The sequence below is a fragment of the Homo sapiens genome, chromosome 17 (genome assembly GCF_000001405.40).
Source record: "Homo sapiens chromosome 17, GRCh38.p14 Primary Assembly".
Taxonomy (NCBI): Eukaryota; Metazoa; Chordata; class Mammalia; order Primates; family Hominidae; genus Homo; species Homo sapiens.
The window spans coordinates 8,665,839-8,685,521 of record NC_000017.11 but is presented as its reverse complement, the minus strand read 5'-3'; the positions used below and the strand labels follow the sequence as shown (position 1 = coordinate 8,685,521).

The 19,683-nt window shown below is 44.5% G+C and overlaps 1 long non-coding RNA gene across 4 annotated transcripts in view, besides 2 other annotated features; it reads right to left on the bottom strand.

The window, feature by feature from the left end:
• Positions 1-14,940, bottom strand: part of LOC105371525 (uncharacterized) — a 50,875-nt gene extending 35,935 nt beyond the window's left edge. For 3 of the 4 annotated variants that reach the window (XR_001752781.1, XR_934213.3, XR_001752783.2), the window contains exon 1: positions 14,594-14,940. This is a non-coding gene — a long non-coding RNA (uncharacterized LOC105371525). Of the gene's footprint in view, positions 1-978; positions 1,083-14,593 lie in introns of those variants that run through there. The other variant, XR_001752784.1, reaches the window with a different exon arrangement.
• Positions 8,561-13,519: an enhancer, noted in NCBI's record as "VISTA enhancer hs2548". NCBI's record gives its function as "enhancer in: other[3/7]" and the evidence as "EXISTENCE:transgenic organism evidence [ECO:0001131][PMID:17130149]".
• Positions 9,617-10,167: an enhancer, noted in NCBI's record as "H3K4me1 hESC enhancer chr17:8578673-8579223 (GRCh37/hg19 assembly coordinates)". NCBI's record gives its function as "activates a minimal SCP1, AML or CMV promoter by ChIP-STARR-seq in primed H9 embryonic stem cells {active_cell/tissue: H9 hESC(primed)}" and the evidence as "EXISTENCE:reporter gene assay evidence [ECO:0000049][PMID:30033119]".
• Positions 14,941-19,683: the final 4,743 nt, after the last annotated feature.

The window sequence follows — 19,683 nt, the reverse complement described above, 5'->3', positions numbered from 1 at the left end:
TGCCTTTTACTACAGAAACGTGGTTTTGTGTTTATTTTTAAAGGAAGATTTGATTTCCAGAGATGAGAATCCCAGGGACAAAACAGAAGACTTCTAAATGATCTTCTATCTTTAACCTTACCCTAACCCCATAATTTTTTATTTCCTACACGGAATGATCTTTTTGCTTTTTTTTTTTTTTTTTTTTTTTTTTTTTTTTCTGAGACGGAGTCTCGCTCTGTTGCCCAGGCTGGAGTGCGGTGGTGTGATCTCGGCTCACTGCAAGCTCCGCCTCCCGGGTTCATGCCATTCTCCTGCCTCAGCCTCCCGAATAGCTGGGACTACAGCCCACCGCCACCACACCCGGCGAATTTTTTGTATTTTTAGTAGAGACAGGGTTTCACCGTGTTAGCCAGGATGGTCTCCACTAAAAATACAAAAATTAGCTGGGCATGGTGGCATGTGCCTGTAATCCCAGCTACTCGGGAGGCTGAGGCAGGAGAACCGCTTGAACCCGGGAGGTGGAGGTTGCAGTGAGCCGAGATTGCGCCACTGCACTCCAGCCTGGCGACAGAGCAAGACTCCATCTCAAAAAAAAAAAAAAAAAAAAAAAAAAAAAAGAGTGCCTCTTATGTTGTGGGCATGGCTTATTTATTCCTACAGATACATTGAAAATAAAATCTCTAAAGAACGTACCAGGATTCATGGTTACCCCTTATTGGGGAAGGACTAGGCAGATGAAACTCAGTGATTAGAGGGAAAATTTTGTACTAGATAATTTGAAACCATTTTTTAAATTTTGAAACAATCTCAAATTTACACAAAAGCTACAAGCATGGTAAAAAAATATCTTTTTCTCCTGAACCATTTGAAAGTAAGTTGTTGATATGATGCCCCATCACCTGTGGATACTTTAGTATCTAAATTCCTACAGGGAAACCCCCACATATGCACAATACAATCAACAAGATCAGGAAATTAACACTGATATATTTCTACCTTTCAAGTGTCCCGATAATGTCCTTTATAGCAAAAGGATCCACTTCATAATCATATGTTGCCTTCATTCTCTTTCAATCTGGATCGTTTCTCAGTCTTTTCGTAGCCTTCAAGACCAGAGAGATTACAGGCCAATAATCAGACGGGGTCTTGCTCTGTTGCCCAGGCTGGAGTGCGGTGGCACAATCTTGACTCAGTGCAGCCTCTGCCTCCCAGGTTCAAGCGGTTCTCATGCCCCAGCCTCCCAAGTAGCTGAGACTACAAGCAGGCACCACCACGCCCAGCTAATTTTTGTATTTTTAGTAGAGACAGGGTTTCACCATGTTGGCTAGGCTGGTCTCGAACTCCTGACCTCAGGTGATCCACCTGCCTCGGCCTCCCAAAGTGCTGGGATTACAGGGGTGAGCCACTATGCCAAGGCATAGGCATGCTGTGATATTTCCTCATGATTAGATTCAGCTTACAAATCTTTGGCGGGAATATCACAGGAGTGACATATGACCTTCTCATTGCATCTATCAATCGGCACACAATTACAATTTGTCCCATTACCGATGACATTAACATTAATCGCTTTATTAATGTGGTGTCTGCCAGGGTTCTCCTTGGCAAAATTCCTCTTTTTCCCTTTCTAACAAATGAGATTTTGTGGGGAAGCACTTGAAGACTATGCAAATGTCTTGTTCTGTTATCAAATTTTCAATTTATTTACTTTTTGATTTATAGTTTTCTATTTTATTACTATTCAACTTCCCATGCTTTTTCTGGAACCATGTGAATGTATTCACTATTTTAAGAAATTAATTTCTAAGAAGAAAGGACCTGAAGTCTAAAAGCTCCACTGATCATAGGTGTTCACTGAATTCATCCTTTTCTTTTGGCAAGGCTTAGGGCATGTATGACCCAAGGTACATGGGGGGTGTGTGTGGTGATGGTGGTGGGGGTGGGAGAGAGTGGAGTGTTAGCAACCCCTGTGGGTCACAGGACTGGGAGTGGGGAGGGGTATTTTGCCGGATGGAAATGGGCGACTATTACCAAAAGCAGGAAGAATGGAAACTGGACATCAAAGACAATCAGTGTCAGCCAAGCACGAGTGGCTCACACCTGTAATCCCAGCACTTTGGGCGGCCGAGGCGGGAGAATCCCTTAAGCCCAGGAGTTACAGTCCAGCCTAGGCAAGCAAGACTCCATCTTTAACAAAAAAAAAAAAAAAAAAAAAAAAATTTTGTTTAATTTAGCCAGTCACAGTGGTGCACCTGTAGTCCCAGCTACTCAGGAGGCTGAAGCGGAAGGATTTCTTGAGCCCTGGAGTTCGAGGTGGCAGTGAACCATGATTGTGCCACTGCATTCCAGCCTGGGTGACAGAGCAAGACCTTCTCTCAAAAAATAATTAATTAATTAAAAAGATAATTAATGCCAAGAAGAGTTCCCAAAGTGCATATAAGAAAAACAAAACACTTGTGGAAAAATAGGAACGCTTTTACACTGTTGGTGGGAGTGTAAACTAATTCAACCATTGTGGAAGACAGTGTGGTGATTCCTCAAGGATCTAGAACTAGAAATACCATTTGACCCAGCAATCCCATTACTGGGTATATACCCAAAGGATTATAAATCATTCTACGATAAAGACACATGCACATGTATGTTTATTGCGGCACTATTCACAATAACAAAGACTTGGAACCAACCCAAGTGTCCATCAGTGATAGACTGGATTAAGAAAATGTGACATATATACACCATGGAATACTATGCAGCCATAAAAAAGGATGAGTTCATGTCCTTTGCAGGGACATGGATGAAGCTGGAAATCATCATTCTCAGCAAACTGTCACAAGATCAGCAAACCAAACACCGCACGTTCTCACTCATAAGTAGGAGTTGAACAATGAAAACTCATGGACACAGGGAGGGAAACATCACACACCAGGGACTGTGGGGGGTGGGGGGCTAGGGGACAGATAACAGGAGAAATACCTAATGTAGGTGACAGGTTGATGGGTGCAGCAAACCACCATGGCACGTGTATACCTATGTAACAGAACTGCACATCCTGTACGTGTAACCGAAAACTTAAGAGTATAATTTAAATAAAAAATAAAATAAAGTTGGGTTGAATTATATTTTAAAAAAGAAGAAGAAGAAAAGAAAAAGGAAACACAAAAAACAGGCTATGACCAGATGGCATTCAGAGTCTACTGTTGGAAAATGGGAAATTTTGGGGCCAGGGATGGTGGCTTACGCCGGTATTCCAGCACTTTGGGAGGCCGAGGCGGGCGGATCACGAGGTCAGGAGATGGAGACCATCCTGACTAACACGGTGAAACCCCGTCTCTACTAAAAATACAAAAAATTAGCCGGGCGTGGTGGCGGGCGCCTGTAGTCCCAGCTTCTCCGGAGGCTGAGGCAGGAGAATGGCGTGAACCCGGGAGGCGGAGCTTGCAGTGAACCGAGATCGCGCCACTGCACTCCAGCCTGGGCGACAGAGCGAGACTGTCTCAAAAGAAAAAGAAAAAAGAAAATGGGATATTTATTGGGATGGAAATGGTGCCCAAAAGTAAAGGAACAAGCCCCAAAACCGGCGGGCGATCATGGGGACAGGGAGGTCCCTGCTTGCTGGCGTGTAGCGTTGGAAGCCAGACCCGTTTCCATGGACCACTCTTCCCAAAAACAATTTCTTGGTAAGAGACTTTAGATGAAAGAACAACTCATGAATTTGCTAGCAGTCCTTCCCAGAGGTGGACATCAGCCCAGCATCTGAACTTTGGCAGCGATACTGGTATGGAGAAAGTTGTCGGCCATTGCTGAACTCTTTATAGACTCCATTTTTTAAACGCAGGAAGTATCTGCCAAATTACCCGAATTATGCTTAATGCCACTCATTCTATTTCTCTCCCCCAGGCTTTTCTCTCCCCACCTCTCAGCCACAGATCTATGGGGTCTGCTTATCGTTCCTGCATGCAGGGGATATTTTAGGAAACTGTTTGTATGTTGGCAGCTGTCCCTGGCCTGACCAGAGCGCACCTCCGCAGACAGACATATTCTGCAGATTTCGAACAAAGCAAATATGTTGATTTTGGCATAGGTTAGCCCCAACTTATCAGACTATATCGCTTGGTCGACTATGAGAAAATATCCAGGGAAAACACATTTTATGACTTTAATTGTTGTTATAGGTGCTTTCAAAAAATAAATCTGTGACCTGTAATATATTTAAGTGAAAGAACTCACATCTGGTTCCGATTAGCTCTGGAGTCTGTTGGCTGACTTAGCACGGGAGCCTTTTCTGGAAGTCAACTCTGTGTCTAGGGATTTTGTTTTCGCCCAAAGAGGCACAGTGAAGACCTTGTTTCAGCACAAAGGCATTAACTGTTAGTGTGACCCCTTGTGAACGTGGAAATGCTAACCAAAGACCTCAAAGTCAGAATCTTGTCCTGGAGGCCTGAGACAGGCAAGTCTAGAGGCAAGAGCGGAACCGATGAGAGAGAACGTTCCAGCTCAACTGACTTGGCATTGAACGTTGCCACTTTAGCCTCCATTCACAAGGAGGACCAGTAGAAGCTTTGCTGCAGACAGTGACACCTCTCACCCTCATTCTGAGTAAGAGGACAAAATCAATAATAAATACAGAGGTATATCTCATTTTCATTATGAGCAAGGTGGTACAACCTGTGACAGACACCCTGGAACCTCTCACTTTCTTCTCACAAGATGGTAACAGCTGTAATCATGGCTCTTATGTAATAAACACATCAGCATGTCTCACTTTCTTTCTGGGGAATATGGCAGGATTCATCATAAAAATGGGTGAAATGAAGCCAACACAGCCAGTAGCTGCACTGCAGCCCATAGATTCTGAGGATTCTACAAAGCAATGTGTAGAATGAGATGCCTTTGACCTGAATTCTCGGGATTTTAAAATCTGCTGACAGTAGCAGTTTCTGGCTAGCAGGGGCATCACAGCTTTTCTTGGATCCCTCTCTGGAGGCAAGAAGAAGATGGCTACAACCTCCAGTTCCTCCCTCTCCCACTCACATTCTTCTGGTGGATGATGGAAGCAGTGAAACTAACCCACCCCAGAGCCGTGTAGGAAAATAGCATTCTGGACTTCTCCTGGGACAGGAGTGGATCTGTTTTGGGGTGGCCTCTTCTCACTTCTCCATCTAGATGGCCCTCCATCCCCTAATTACACCCTGAACTCCAAGAGCTCCATCCTTGTTCAGCTGCACCACGTTGCCTCTCAAAGGAGACAGAGACCAATTTTTACCAGGTACACCTCTGAACAGAGCGAGGTAACGAGATCCTTGAACAAACCTAACTTCACAGGGGAAAGACAGTTTCTTTGCCCAATTGCATGCATATATACATGTAATAGACTTCAGCCTTCAAAAAGTCTTTGACAAGTGGTGCCATGTAAGGCTCCATGAGTCATTGGATGGTTGGTGGTTTTTTGTCACAGGTAGGAAGCTACCTTAGTGGCAAGGATAAATGGGTGCTTCTCTGGATGGAAACGTATGAATAATAATCTTTCAAATAGCCAATGGGCCGGGCACAGTACTTATGCCTGTAATCCTAGCACTTTGGGAGGCTGAGAGGCCAGGAGTTCGAGACCAGCCTGGCCAAGAGACGGTGAAATCCCATCTTTACTAAAAATTGGTGGGGCATGCCTGTAATCCCAGCTACTCGGGAGGCTGAGACAGGAGACTCGCTGGAACCCGGGAGGCAGAGGTTGCAGTGAGCTGAGGTGGCGCCACTGCACGCTAGCCTGGGTGACAGACAGAGGCTCTGTCTCAAAAAATAAAACAAAATAAAATAGCCAGTGATCATTGAGCTTTTATTATGTGCAAGGCATTGCTCTAAGCACATTACAAGTATTAGCTCATCTTAGCCTCACCACAGCCCTCTAAGGGAAGTAATAGTGTGATACCAATTTTACAGATGAGGAAACAGTTACAAAGAGTTTAAGTGACTTGACTAAGCTAGTTCTAGAACAATCGTTGGTGACATTACAATAATTCATTTTGATTTTATAGTAAAATTTCATAGTAAATATGGTAAAATTGTAATGTTTGTGAATGACACAAAAACACTTACAAGTATTGAAAAGTCCATGAGAATAAATTGCAGAAAGACGCTGTTAGGTCCCTGGTCACATTTTTGGCTCTGTCTGTCTTCAGTCTCCCAACAATTCTAACCCTGCGTCATCCCTCAACAATGTCTCCTCCTTCCCAAGCCCTAGCAGCCATCCTTTATTCAGGCCTTTACTCTGTCTGCCTTGAACCCGTCTGATGGCCTCTTAACTAGTCTCTTGGCTTCCTATCACCTCCACACCCCAATTCAGTTAAAACATCACTGCCAGATTAAATGAACACAGTACAGCTCTGTCCTAGGCAAAGCCTGCAGATACCTACATTCAAGGTTGTAGCTAACTTTTCCAGTGTGACTTGAGTTATGCTTTTTGATTCAATACATTTTTGTTGAGCCAAAGTGCTATTGGTAGGTTCTGGAAATTCAAAATGGAAAGGACACAGTACTTGTCCTCAGATTGTTTATCATAGTGAGAAGTCACACTTGTAAACAAACAAATGTAAAATAACAAGATAATTGTTCCAACATAGGAATGGACAAAAGAAATTGGGAGAAGCACCTACCTCTGTCCAGAGGTATCAGAAAGGGCTTCACAGAGAAAGGGAGCTTTGAGCTAACAGGACAAGTGGAATTTCCTAGTGGACCAGCCTGGGGAGTGAGGGCACAGTGAGGAGCGTGCCCTGGTGTGTGCTGGTGGAAAAGCAACTGGCTAAGTCTAGTTAGAGTGCAGGGTTTGATGGAAAGTGCAGGAAGTTGGGGAAACAGGTGACAAGTAACAGCCCTTCATGAGTTGATTTATTGTATGGATGCAATTCCAACTCCTAACTACGGAATTATTTTAAAGTTTGGAAACGTAAGTGTGAGAATTGCCCATGATTTTTTTAAAAAAGAATAAGAAATAAATAAAAAAATTTGCTCTACTAAACATTAAAATATGTTGTAAAATTATCATAGTTGAAACTGTGTGGTCCTGGTGAGGATTAGGAAGATAGATAAAGAAAGAGTAGGAAGTACAGAAATGGAGCCAAGTATGTATTACTAGACTTATGAATAGTAAACGTAGCATCTCAAATCAGGATCAAAGTGATGAATTATTCAAAAGATGATATTGAAACAATTACATGAACTCTTTTGAACAATGTTGGATTCCCTGCCCTTCTGCATGGTTCACGAAATAAATTCTAGATCAGCTCTGTCCAGTAGAAGTAGAATTTTCTGTGAAGGTGGAGATATTCTACACCTGTGCTTCTCAACATGGCAGCCACTAGCCACAAATGGCTACTGAGCATTTGAAATGGAGCTAGTACACTGAGGAGCCACACTTTTTAATTTTAATTGCTTGAAATTTAAATTTACATAGCCATTAGGGCACAGCATGGTTCTAGATGAACTAACAGTACTAATCTATGAAAGAAAAGAAAAATACTAGAATGAAATATAAGTAAATATTTATATAATCTTGGGGTGAAGGTCTTTAGTATAATATCAAAAGCAGACATCACAAAAGAAGAGATTGCTCTGACCAACTAAAAATGTAAAATTTCAGAAGACATGAAAGTCAATGTTAAAAGTCAGAAAAAAATTTACCTCATGTAGGACAGAATTTATATTTATATAAATGATTTATATTTTATATAAAATTATAAATTAATAAATTAATTATAAGTTAACACAATCTTAATATTGTAAATTAACAAAAAATAAAGAAGCCTTAGAAAAATAAACAAAGGACAGGAATAAGAATATCACAAAAGGGCTGGGCGTGGTGGCTCATGCCTGTAATCCTAGCACTTTGGGAGGCCAAGGTGGATGAATCACCTGAGGTCAGGAGTCTGAGACCAGCCTGACCAGCATGGTGAAACGCCGTCTCTAATAAAAATACAAAATTAGCCAGGTGTGGTGGTGCATGCCTGTAATCCCAGCTACGCGGGAGGCTGAGGCATGAGAATTACTTGAATCCGGGAGGTGGAGGTTTCAATGAGCCAAGATTGAGCCACTGCACTCCAGCCTGGGCAACAAGAGTGAAACTCAGTCTCAAAAAAAAAAAAAAAGAATATCACAAAAGAAGAAATACAATTGTCCAATATATATGAAAAAACTTCAACCTCACCACTAATCACAAATTCACCAATCAGAACAACAATGAGGTAATTCTTTGAACTGGTGTTGCCTTTAAAAATGTTGCTACAGGCCGGGTGTGGTGGCTTACGCCAGTAATCCCAGCACTTTGGGAGGCCGAGGCAGGTGGATCACTCGAGGTCAGGAGTTCGAGATCAGCCTGGCTAACATGATGAAACCCTGTCTCTACTAAAAACACAAAAATTAGCCAGTGTAGTGGTGCGCGCCTGTAATCTCAGCTACTGAGGAGGCTGAGGCAGGAGAATTGCTTGAACCCAGGAGACAGAGGTTGCAGTGAGCTGAGATCACGCCACTGCACTCCAGCCTGGGCGACAAAAAAAAAAGAAAAAAAGAAAAAGAAAGTGTTGCTACAGGTTGAGCATCCCTAATCCAAAACTCCAAAATCCAAAATGCTCCAATATCCAAAGCTTTTGAGCTCCATCATGATGCCACAAGTGGAGAACTCCACACATAAGTACTTAACACCAATTTTGTTTCATGCGCAAAATTATTTAAAATATTATATCAAATTATCTTCAGGCTATGTGTATAAGGTGTACATGAATTTCTGTGTTTAGACTTGGGTCCCATCCCCAGAATATCTCATTTGTATATGCAAATATTACAGAATCTGAAAAAAATCCCAAATCCAAAGCACTTCTAGATAAGGAATACTCGACCTGGATAGGCCTTGTTGGTGAGGGGGCAGGGAGGCCAGGCACTTTCTTACATTGGAGATGCAAGTATAAACTGATGCAACCTTCCCGGGATACAATTTAGCAATAAAGATCAAACTACATGGCTGGGTGCAGTGGCCTGTAGGAGTTCGAGATCAGCCTGACCAGCATGGTGAAACCCCGTGTCTACTAAAAATACAAAAATTAGCTGGGTGTGGTGGCGAGTGCCTGTAGTCCCAGCCACTCGGAAGGCTGAGGCAGGAGAATTACTTGAACCCAGAAGGTAGAGGTTGCAATGAGCTGAGATTGCGCCATTGAACTCCAGCCTGGGTGACAGAGACAGATCTCTGAAAAAAAAAGAAAAGAGAGAGAGAAAGAAAGAGAGGAAGGAAGGAAAGAAAGGAAGGAAGGAAAAGAAAAGAAAAGAAAAGATCAAATTACAGGCCAGGCATGGTGGGTCATGCCACCAGCCTGGGCAAAATGGCGAGATCCCATCTGTACAAAAAATACAAAAATTAGCAGGGCATGGTGGCACGTGCCTGTAGTCCCAGCTACTTGGGGGAACTGAGGAAGGAGGGTTGCTTGAACCTGGGAGGTTGAGGCTGCAGTGGGCAGAGATCCCGCCACTGTACTCCAACCTGGGTGACAAAGTGAGAGCCTGTCTCCAAAAAAAAAAGGGTCAAATTACACATTCTTAGATCAAATTTCAGGTGTTCTTATATCCCTCATGTATATCTTACATGAAAACTCACAAATTAAGACCTCTAATGTAGGCTGTATGATGGCCATAATCTGGGTCCCATCTCAGGTTACCTGGCTTTCTTTGTGGCAAAGGGGAGCCAGGTGAAGGTGACAGAAGTCTGGAGAGCTCAAGGAAATCATGGTCACCTCTGTTTCCTGAGCATTTGTTTAGCTGTATGCCAAGCGCTTTGCACACAGCATCTTGTTTAATTATCATGACAACCTTGCAAAGTAGATGATTTTCTCCCCATTTGAATGGTGGGAAGAAGATTCTCCCCACTTTACAAATGCGCAAGCAGGTCCAGAAGGATTCAACAATCCCATCGCGCAGCCAGAAAGCCAAGGTTTGAAGTCAGATCTGCGACTCCAAGCTGTGCTCCTGTGGCTGGCAAGGACTCCGGGGCCACGGGGAGCATTGAGGCCCCCCTGAGATGAACCTGTGGCCCGTAAGACCTTCTGATTAGGAGCAGCAACCCTCACCAGGCAGGGAGACAGGCAGACAACTCTGGGGCCACAAAAAGAGGATCGCTTCAGTGCCCCCTTCCTGGGACCCAAAGCAAAGAAAATTGATGTGTATGTAAGTAGGGAGGCTGGGTTTTAACTAGTCTGAAAAGACTAATTTTTTTGGAGCTGAGACAGGGTAGAGCTCTCAGAAAAGGAATTTGGGGAATTGAGTGTCCTCAGACTTTTCCATCTGCTCTTTGACAAGGACCTGCCAAGTGACGACGGAATGCTGTGTGTGTGCCCGGCCTTGTCTGGGTCATCTGTCTCATGCGTTGGGCTGGGGTGGCAGGTTCTCCAGCCGGGAGGGTGGGGGTAAGCTCCTTGGGAAGGGAGAACTCGGCTGCCGGCTTCCTCCTGCAGCATAGTTCGAGCCTGAGATGGTCTGACTGCTACTCAGATGGAAATGGGGCGGGCGGGGCAAAAGCCAAACAGCATTTGGTCTCCATCAACGCTCAGAAAGCAAGTTGGATCAACACTGCAGTCGGTTAGGTCTATAGTGAGGGAGATGGCCGGGACATTTTCCAGAGTGGTTGGACCTGCTCGCAATGAACAGGACAGGGGCAGGAGAGCCCTGAGAAGTGGTCTCCGCTGGGCAGGGAGGGATGGAATGATGTAGGGTGTGCTGGGACAGAGGAGCATAGAAATCAATTCTTATTTTAAAAATTAGACCTGCCTCTTTCCTCAAGGAAATGAACATTGGGCTTTTGTTTGTGTTTTTAAAGCCTTTGGAAAAAAGTAGCCATGTGAACTTGGACAGTCACGCAGGCTCTGTGGAGACTCAGCTGTCTTACCCGTGGGGCAAGGAGCTGAGCCAGAAGGTATTCTGTTGAGGTCCCTTTTAGTGTGAAGGTCAGGGGTACTCACTCTTCCTCCAAGATAAGATTCCTTGGGATGTTTGTTTAAAACATTCCCAAGTTCTGCCCCAGACGTATTCAATCAGAATCTCCAGGAGGCAGGCCTGGGAGTCTATATCTTAATCTGCACCCTGGACGAGTCTTATGATGTCAGGGGTGTATTACATTCTTACATCAGGAAAAGTCAGGGATTGCTTGTTGGTGACAGGATATCTCTGAGCTTCCCTAGCCCTGTTTTGCAGAAAGGAGGAGAAAAGAGAGACTGGGGCTTGGAGCACTAACCTTTAAGGGGGCCTATGGTCCCTGAGTCCTTCTGTCCCCTTTGGTGTTCCCAGCAACCCCAGAGCTCTGAGGCTCTTCTATGAACTTGCTTTGCTTACACCTGGACACCCAGAAGGAGCATCAGGGGATCAGCACTGGGTTTGGGGAGGCACAGCCCAGGACAGGGTTTAGAAAACTGGGGTTTTGGTGTGGCTCTACCACTGATCTTGGCAGAGCAGCTTTGCAGTACCTTGGGTTAGGGCTTGACTTTCCTGGGCCACAGTTTCTTCATCAATAAAATGGAGACAATTAATGACTAACTCACTGACTGTCCAATAGTCAATAAAGATTCTGGAGCTCTAACTGTTAGGGACTGTCTTTTTGGCCAGCAGGAAGTATTCAGTGAGGTACTAGCAGAGGAAATGCTTTGAGCAGTATGAAGCTCCTTATCAGCATTTCCCAAGGGACGCACCATGGATGTGGGCTGTTAATCATGTTCCACAAAAATAAAAAGGGCTCTGTGTTCTGTTGAGGAAATGCTTGATTAAATTGAATTAAATAGTCTTTGATTTAGGACTGCTCTGGGTCTTTTATTGAATGTGCACTGTGACTTGCCAGGGCAAGTGTGTGTGTGTGTGTGTGTGTGTGTGTGTGTGTAGGAAAATGTAATCAGACCTCCCCAGACTTGCTTGTTTGGTGATACCATTAATTAGTGAAACACTTCTCATTTTGTCCTCCTTTTAAAAATTCTGGTAAAATAATATGTAACACAAAGTTTACCATTCCGGGGGCATTAAGTATCTTCACGCTGTAACAATGTGCAATCATCACTATCATCCATCTGCACAGCTTTTTCATCTTTCCAAACTGAAACTCTGTATCCATTAAACAGTAACTCCCCATTCCCTGATCTCCTGGCTCCTAGCAAGCACCATTCTACTTTCTGTCTTTATGCATTTGACTACTCCAGCTACCTCATATAAGCAGAATTGTGTAATATTTGTGCTTTTATGTTGGACTTATTTCACTTAGCATAATGTTCTCAAGCTTCATCTGTGTTGCACCAAGTGTCAGAATATCCTTCCTATTAAGGCTGAATAATTGTAGGACCATATGTATATGCTACATTTTATCTATCCACTTATCCATTGATGGAGATTAGGGTTGTTTCTTCCTCTTGGCTATTGTGAATCATGATGTTGTGAACAGGGGAGCATACATATCTGTTCCAGTCCCCACTTCGATTCAGAAGTGAAATTGCTGGATGATAGAGCATCTCCTGGGCTAGTGTTTTGTGGAGCAAACTTTGGAAAGATTGCTCTCGGCCGGGCGCAGTGGCTCAAGTCTGTAATCCCAGCACTTTGGGAGGCCGAGGTGGGCGGATCATGAGGTCAGGAGATCGAGACCACGGTGAAATCCCGTCTCTACTAAAAATACAAAAAATTAGCCAGGCGCGGTGGCAGGCACCTGTAGTCCCAGCTACTGAGGAGGCTGAGGCAGGAGAATGGCGTGAACCCAGGAGGTGGAGCTTGCAGTGAGCCGAGATTGCACCACTGCACTCCAGCCTGGGCAACAGAGCAAGACTCCTTCTCAAAAAAATAAATAAATAAATAAATAAAGATTGCTCTGTATAAGTCTGGGGGCGGAGTACTATTAAGTGAGAACATTGCTGAATTTTCCAGGGATGTCCCTGCCCTGGATGATACAGTGGGAAAGCATGCTGGATTAGGAGTGAGGACTCGAATTCCTCCCTGAGCTCTGCGGGCCTTGGTTTCTGCAACGGTTAAATAACCATGACAAACTGGGTGATCTTTTGAAATCTAGGATTCTTTGGCCTATTGTGGTTCCCCTCCCACAGGCATCAGGGTGGTGGGTGAGGGTGAGGGCGGCGGGAGGGAGAAGTCTGGGAAGGAGACATTAGCTTGAGACGAGGATAACTTAATGTCTTCATCCTTTGACCTCGACGTTTTAATTGTTTAACCTACAGTTGACTCTTGAACAACACGGATTTGAACTGTGCAGGTCCACCATATACGTGGATTTTCTTCCACCTCTGAGATAGCAAGACCAACCCCTCCTCTTCCTCTTCCTCCTCAGCCTACTCAATGTGAAGGTGATGAGGATGAAGAACCTTATGATGATCTACTTCCACTTAAGGAGTAGCAAATATATTTTATCTTCCTTATGATTTTTTTCTCTTTTTTTTCTTTTTTTCTTTTTCTTTTTTGAGATAGAGTATAGCTCCTTTGCCCAGGCTGGAGTGCCGTGGTGTGATCTTGGTTCACCACAACCTCCGCCTCCTGGATTGAAGCGATTCTTCTGCCTTAGCCTCCGGAGTAGCTGGGACTACAGGCGTATGCCACTGTGCCTGGCCCCTTACGATTTTCTTAATAACATTTTATTTTCTGTGGCTTACTTTATTGGGTTTTTTGGGGGCTTTTTGGTTTTTGTTTTTTTGAGAGAGGGTCTGTTGCCCAGGCTGGAGTGCAGTGGCACTATCTTAGCTCACTGCAACCTCCTTCTCCTGGGTTCAAGCGATTTTCCTGCCTCAGCCCCCAAGTAGCTGAGATTACAGGCACACACCACCACACCCGGCTAATTTTTGTATTTTTAGATGGGTTTTCACCACGTTGGCCAGGCTGGTCTTGAACTCCTTACCTCAAGTGATCCACCCACCTTGGCCTCCCAAAGTGCTGGGATTATAGGCATGAGCCACCGCACCCGGCCTTTGGCTTACTAATATATATATATATATATATATATATATATATATATATATATATATATATATGGTTTTTTTTAATTTTTCCCCGAGACGGAGTCTCACTCTGTCACCCAGGCTGGAGTGCAGTGGTGCGATCTTGGCTCACTGCAACCTCTGCCTCCCAGGTTAAAGCAATTCTTCTGCCTCAGCCTCCCGAGTAGCTGGTACTACAGGTGCATATCATCACGCCCGGCTAATATTTTGTATTTTTAGTAGAGACAGGGTTTCACCATGTTGGCCAGGCTGATCTCAAACTCCTGACCTCGTGATCCACCTGCCTCGGCCTCCCAAAGTGGTGGGATTACAGGCGTGAGCCACCGTGCCCAGTCAGGTTACTTTATTGTAAGAATACAACATATAATACATATAACACACAAAATATGTGTTAATTGTTTATGTGATCAGCATGGCTTCCAGTCAGCAGAAGGCTATTAGTAAAGTTTGGGGGAGTAAAAAAAAAATTGTACGTGGATTTTCAGCTGCGTGGTTGTCGGCGCGAGTAAACCGCCCCCCCCCCGCCCCCGCCCCACGCCCGCCACTTTGTTGTTCAGAGGTCAGCTGTATTTTCTTTTATGAGGGAAAGCCATATTTTGCTCTTTCCTCACCTTTGTGCTTCGGGATCCAAACACTTCTTGGATAGTTCTCTCTCAGTTGTTCTTTCGCCTCTAGAGCTGGTATCATAGTTGTGAACTTCTCTTTTGACCTTCCCCTCCGCAATCAGTCTAACGGCTACTGGGAAAGAATGAGCTGCTGTGTCTCCTCTTCCACTTTTCTCTGCTTAGCCTGGCTTTCCTTTTCTTCCACTATTAGAAACACACACAAAAAAGAAAAGTCCCACGTGTTTGTCTCCAGACCATGAGGGTAAACCTCAGGAATGACGCTTTCCTCTAGGAGTTAAGTACTTTTCCTCTTCAAAAGTAAAGTCTTCCCTCTCCCGATAGGAATCTCTGGCTGCTGCTTGAATTTTAAATATAATAACCAGGTTTATACATTAAGCAAGCTTTGCCTGGTTCCCTCAGCAACAGCTCTAACTTGGATAGCTTGCCATAGCATGTTCTAAAGGAACTTGTGCATTTCATTATAATAACATCCCACTTATTCAGAAGGGAAGAAATCTTAACTTTTCAGAAAGACGGAAAGCTAAAATTAGGCCATGAACCAAAACAAAACCTTTTAAGCCCCTCGAATAACCTTCACAATGTCCTGCTCTAAAGACAAGAGCGGCCAGGTGCGGTGGCTCATGCCTGTAATCCCAGCACTTTGGGAGGCCGAGGCGGGTGGATCATGATGTCAGGAGTTCAAGACCAGCCTGGCCAAGATGGTGAAACCCCGTCTCTACTAAAAAAACTACAAAAATTAGCCAGGCGCGGTGGCGCACGCCTGTAATCCCAGCTACTTGGGAGGCTGAGGCAGAATAATTGCTTGAACCTGGGCAGCAGAGGTTGCAGTGAGCTGAGACTGCGCTACTGCACTCCAGCCAGGGGACAGAGAGAGACTCTGTCTCAAAAAAAAAACAAACAAACAAAAAAAAAAAAAAACACAAGAACTTTACTTGCAAGAAAGTCTTAAGGCCCTGTGATTCTGTTTACTCTTTTTTTTTTTAACACATCCTTCTCCACTGCGAATAAAAAATAGGGAGGGGCTGCTAGAAGTAGACACAGTTAGCACAGTGTCAACCCATATGGTAGCCTGAAGACAAAGGAGACAGAAAAACTCAAAAAAAGAGCAGGCATAGATCTGTGCTGTGACAGTTTTGACAGATTCCAATCAAAATGGATAAAATAAAGTGTTGGGTTTTGTAGAGATAAGCTTCAGTTATCCGGAAAGCTCATTGCATTCAGCGCCACCAGAGCTGTCCAATGGAAGCATCACTGTGTTTTGAACCAAAAAATCTAGCAAGGCATTCATACAAAGATTTCCAGTCTATTCATTGGATGAATCCCCAGTGGTATGTATGGCAGTGGGGGAGCTGGTGAGATCTTGGCTAAGACTGAAGCCCTGGATTTTACGAAAGTTTGATGATTCTGTGCAGGAAAAACTGATATATTAAATGCACAGCAGTCCTTATGTTTAGGCATAGGTGGGGGTTTTAGCCTGTGGGCAACTTGCAGTGTTGATTTAGGGAAAATACTTTAATGGGCCTTTGATTCTGTAAAGATAAAGTCAACATCCAGTTGTGGAATGGGGACTGCTGTGTTCTGCCTAATAACAGAAATGATTATCTTTCCTGAGGGCAGAGCTGTAGGACGGCCCTATTTCTAAAAGTATTGTTTCTTCTGGGGAGATGTGTAATGCAGTCTTGTCCAAGACTGGGAGCAGAGAGCGGAAGATGCAGGAAAAACTGCTAGAGTCAAATCTCTGCCCCCAGACTGACAGAGGTCCCCTAAGGCAGTAGGATGATGACAGCCTAAAGCAACCTGACTCACCCACTGACGTTTCCCCAGGCCCGGTTATTCAAGAACAACTGTGCAAGTGGGGAAAGGGAATGCGGAAATGTAAAGCAGCACCGCTATTATGGAAAACTGTATGGCAGTTTCTCGAAAAACTAAAAATAGGCCGAGGCCAAGCACGGTGGCTCACGCCTGTAATCCCAGCACTTTGGGAGGCCGAGGCGGGTGGATCACCTGAGGCCAGGAGTTTGAGACCAGCCTGACCAACATGATGAAACCCCATCTCTACTAAAAATACAAAATTAGCCAGGCATGGTGGTGCGTGCCTGTAATCCCAGATACTTGGGAGCCTGAGGCAGGAGAATCACTTGAACCCAGAGGCAGAGGTTGTGGTGAGCCAAGATTGCACCATTGCACTCCAGCCTGGGTAACAAGAGCGAAACTGTCTCAAAAAAAAAAAAAAAGAAAAAGAAAAACTAAAAATGGAATAAGCATATGATGTAGAATAACCATATGATACAGCAATCCAACTTCTGGCTATTTACCCAAAAGATTTGAAATCAATTTCTCAAAGAGATGTCTGCACTCCCTTGTTATCACTGTGCCCTAGGGCCTCACAGCAGCCAAATTACAGCATCAACATAAGTGTCCATCAACAGATGAATGAATAAAGAAAATGTATATAGACACAATGGAATGTTATTCAGTCTTTAAAAAGAAGGAAATTCTGTCATTTGTGACAACAGAGAACAAAGTAAAGAACATCCTACTAAGCGAGATAAGCCAGGCACTGAAAGACAAATACCACATGTTCTCGCTTACATGTAGACTCTAAGACAATGGAACTTGTAGAAGCAGAGAGTAGAATGTTGGTTACAGAGGCTGGGGATGGGAGAAATGGAGAGAAGATGGTGAAAGGGTACAAAAATCTTAGAAGGAATACTTTTTTTTTGAGATCTATTGCGCAGCATGGTGAATATAGATAATAATAGTGTATTGTATATTTCAAAATTGCTAAGAGAGTACATTTCAAATATTCTCATCACAAAAATGAAAAGCATTTAATTAGCTTGATTTAATTCATCTGTGTTATATTCATAAATCATAGCATCACCTTGTGCTCCATAAATATATACAATTATAAATTGTCAATTTACAATAAAATAAAAAAGAACAACAATGCAAGATAGACTTCAGGAAATGTGCTGATCCCAGAGTATTGTTCTCATGCCATTAGGAGGCAAAGGACAAGACCACATTCTTGGGCTGGGGGTTCCCCTGAAAGGAATGACTATTTCATGATCAGTCATCCTGGGGCCAGAATTAGGGACTTGGAAGGAGCCTTGGACTCTTGGAGGGGAAACCTGCTCCCTGTTCTTGGAGCTTTGCGGGTTGAAAAGACAGGAGGGAGGGTTTCTCCAGGACTCCCTTGTTATGGGAAATAAGTTGGATTCTGCAACAGAGGACATGTCAGAGACTACAGAGAGACACCCAGAAGAGGCAGGGTTGCCAGATAAAATGCTGGATGCCTAGTTACATTTGAATTTCAGATAAACAATGAATAATATTACAGTGTAACTATATTCCAAATATTGCCTGGGACATACTTACTGTAAAAAAATTATTCATGGCCGGGCGCGGTGGCTCACGCCTGTAATCCCAGTACTTTGGGAGGCCGAGATGGGCAGATCACAAGGTCAGGAGTTCGAGACCAGCCTGGTCAACATGGTGAAACCCCGTCTCTACTAAAAATACAAAAATTAGCTGGGCATGGCGGCAGGCACCTGTAATCCCAGCTAATTGGGAGGCTGAGGCAGGAGAATCATTAGAACCTGGGAGGCAGAGGTTGCAGTGAGCTGAGATTGCACCATTGCACTCCAGCCTGGGTGACAGGGTGAGACTCCATCTCAAAAAATAATAATAATAATTAAATTAAATAAATTATTCATTGCTCATCTGAAATTCAAATTTAACTGGGAGTCCGGTATTTTTATTTGCTAAATCTGGCAACCCTAAGGAAGGGACCTCTGTAAAGACCCTCCATTCTGTCCTTTCTGTCACCTTGGCTTTTCTTTAGTCCCCTTATGTGGCAAAGTCGGCTCTAGCCTTGCTGGGAACACTCGAGGGAGGGTGTCTGTGCCCCATGCTTGGGGTGAAGCCATACTGGAGGGAGGGCAGCCACTGCCAGAGGAGTCAGACTCCAGACTGAGGAGGGGTCCTTGGAGAGAAGAGAGTGGGGAAGTGACGCAGAATCACAGAGCTGATGAGGGTGGAGTGGGGATCTGCGTGGATTTGTAGCTCTCATGAGCATTTCTGCTAGTGTACTAGAAGACTCATGGAGGAGAACCTGGTAAAATTGTGTGTTCAAGGGGACTGGGGCCCTTGGCTACTGTGACTTTGACAGCAAATGGCGGTGTGACCTCATAGCTGGTGAAGTCTGGGCACTTGGGTTAGGGACATTTCTAAGCAACAGCCTCCTTTTTTTTTTTTTTTTTTCAATCGATGGAGTGTCACTCTGTCACCCAGTCTGGAGTGCAGGGGTGCGATCTCACTGCAACCCCCGCCTCCCGGGTTCAAGCGATTCTCCTGCCTCAGCCTCCTGAGTAGCTGGGATTACAGGCGCACGCCACCACGCCCAGCTAATTTTTCTATTTTTGGTAGAGACGGGCTTTCACCATGTTGGTCAGGCTGGTCTCGAACTCCTGACGTTGTGATCCGCCTGCCTTGGCCTCCCAAAGTGCTGGGATTACAGGTGTGAGCCACCATGCCCAGCCAGTAATGGCCTCCTTTAACCTCCAAGTTATCATCACAGGATGTTAACATCCAAATTTTCCTGTTGTCTCCATTTCAGATGAGGTCCCAAGCTGAGAACATAAAATGTTAGATGCCCACATGGTCTAAAGAACAGCTGTAAATCATCTATGCAGAGTTCGCTTAAGAATGATCCAAAAAAGCCAGCGTGGGGACTCTTGAGTATCAGCCTCTGGAGGCTATATAGGCGCTGCTAAGAACTTCACTCAGAGATCAGAAAGGGAACGATTCCCCCAAGTACTGGGATGGGGTACACAGGGCAGTAGGGGATTCCCTTTCCATCCTCAAGACAGAGAAATATACCTTCAAGGGCTTAGAGAGCCTGGCCTGTGTGCCCTGGGAGGCCTCACCCTGGAGCCTGCTAGGCCTGGGAAATAAAAGTGAAGCAGCTCAGAGCAGCTGCCCAGAACATGCTGCACTTGCATTGAGTGGCAGGTCACAGATGAGTGGACTTTCCTGTGGGCCCTGTGCACCTGTAGAAGGTGGCTGTGCTT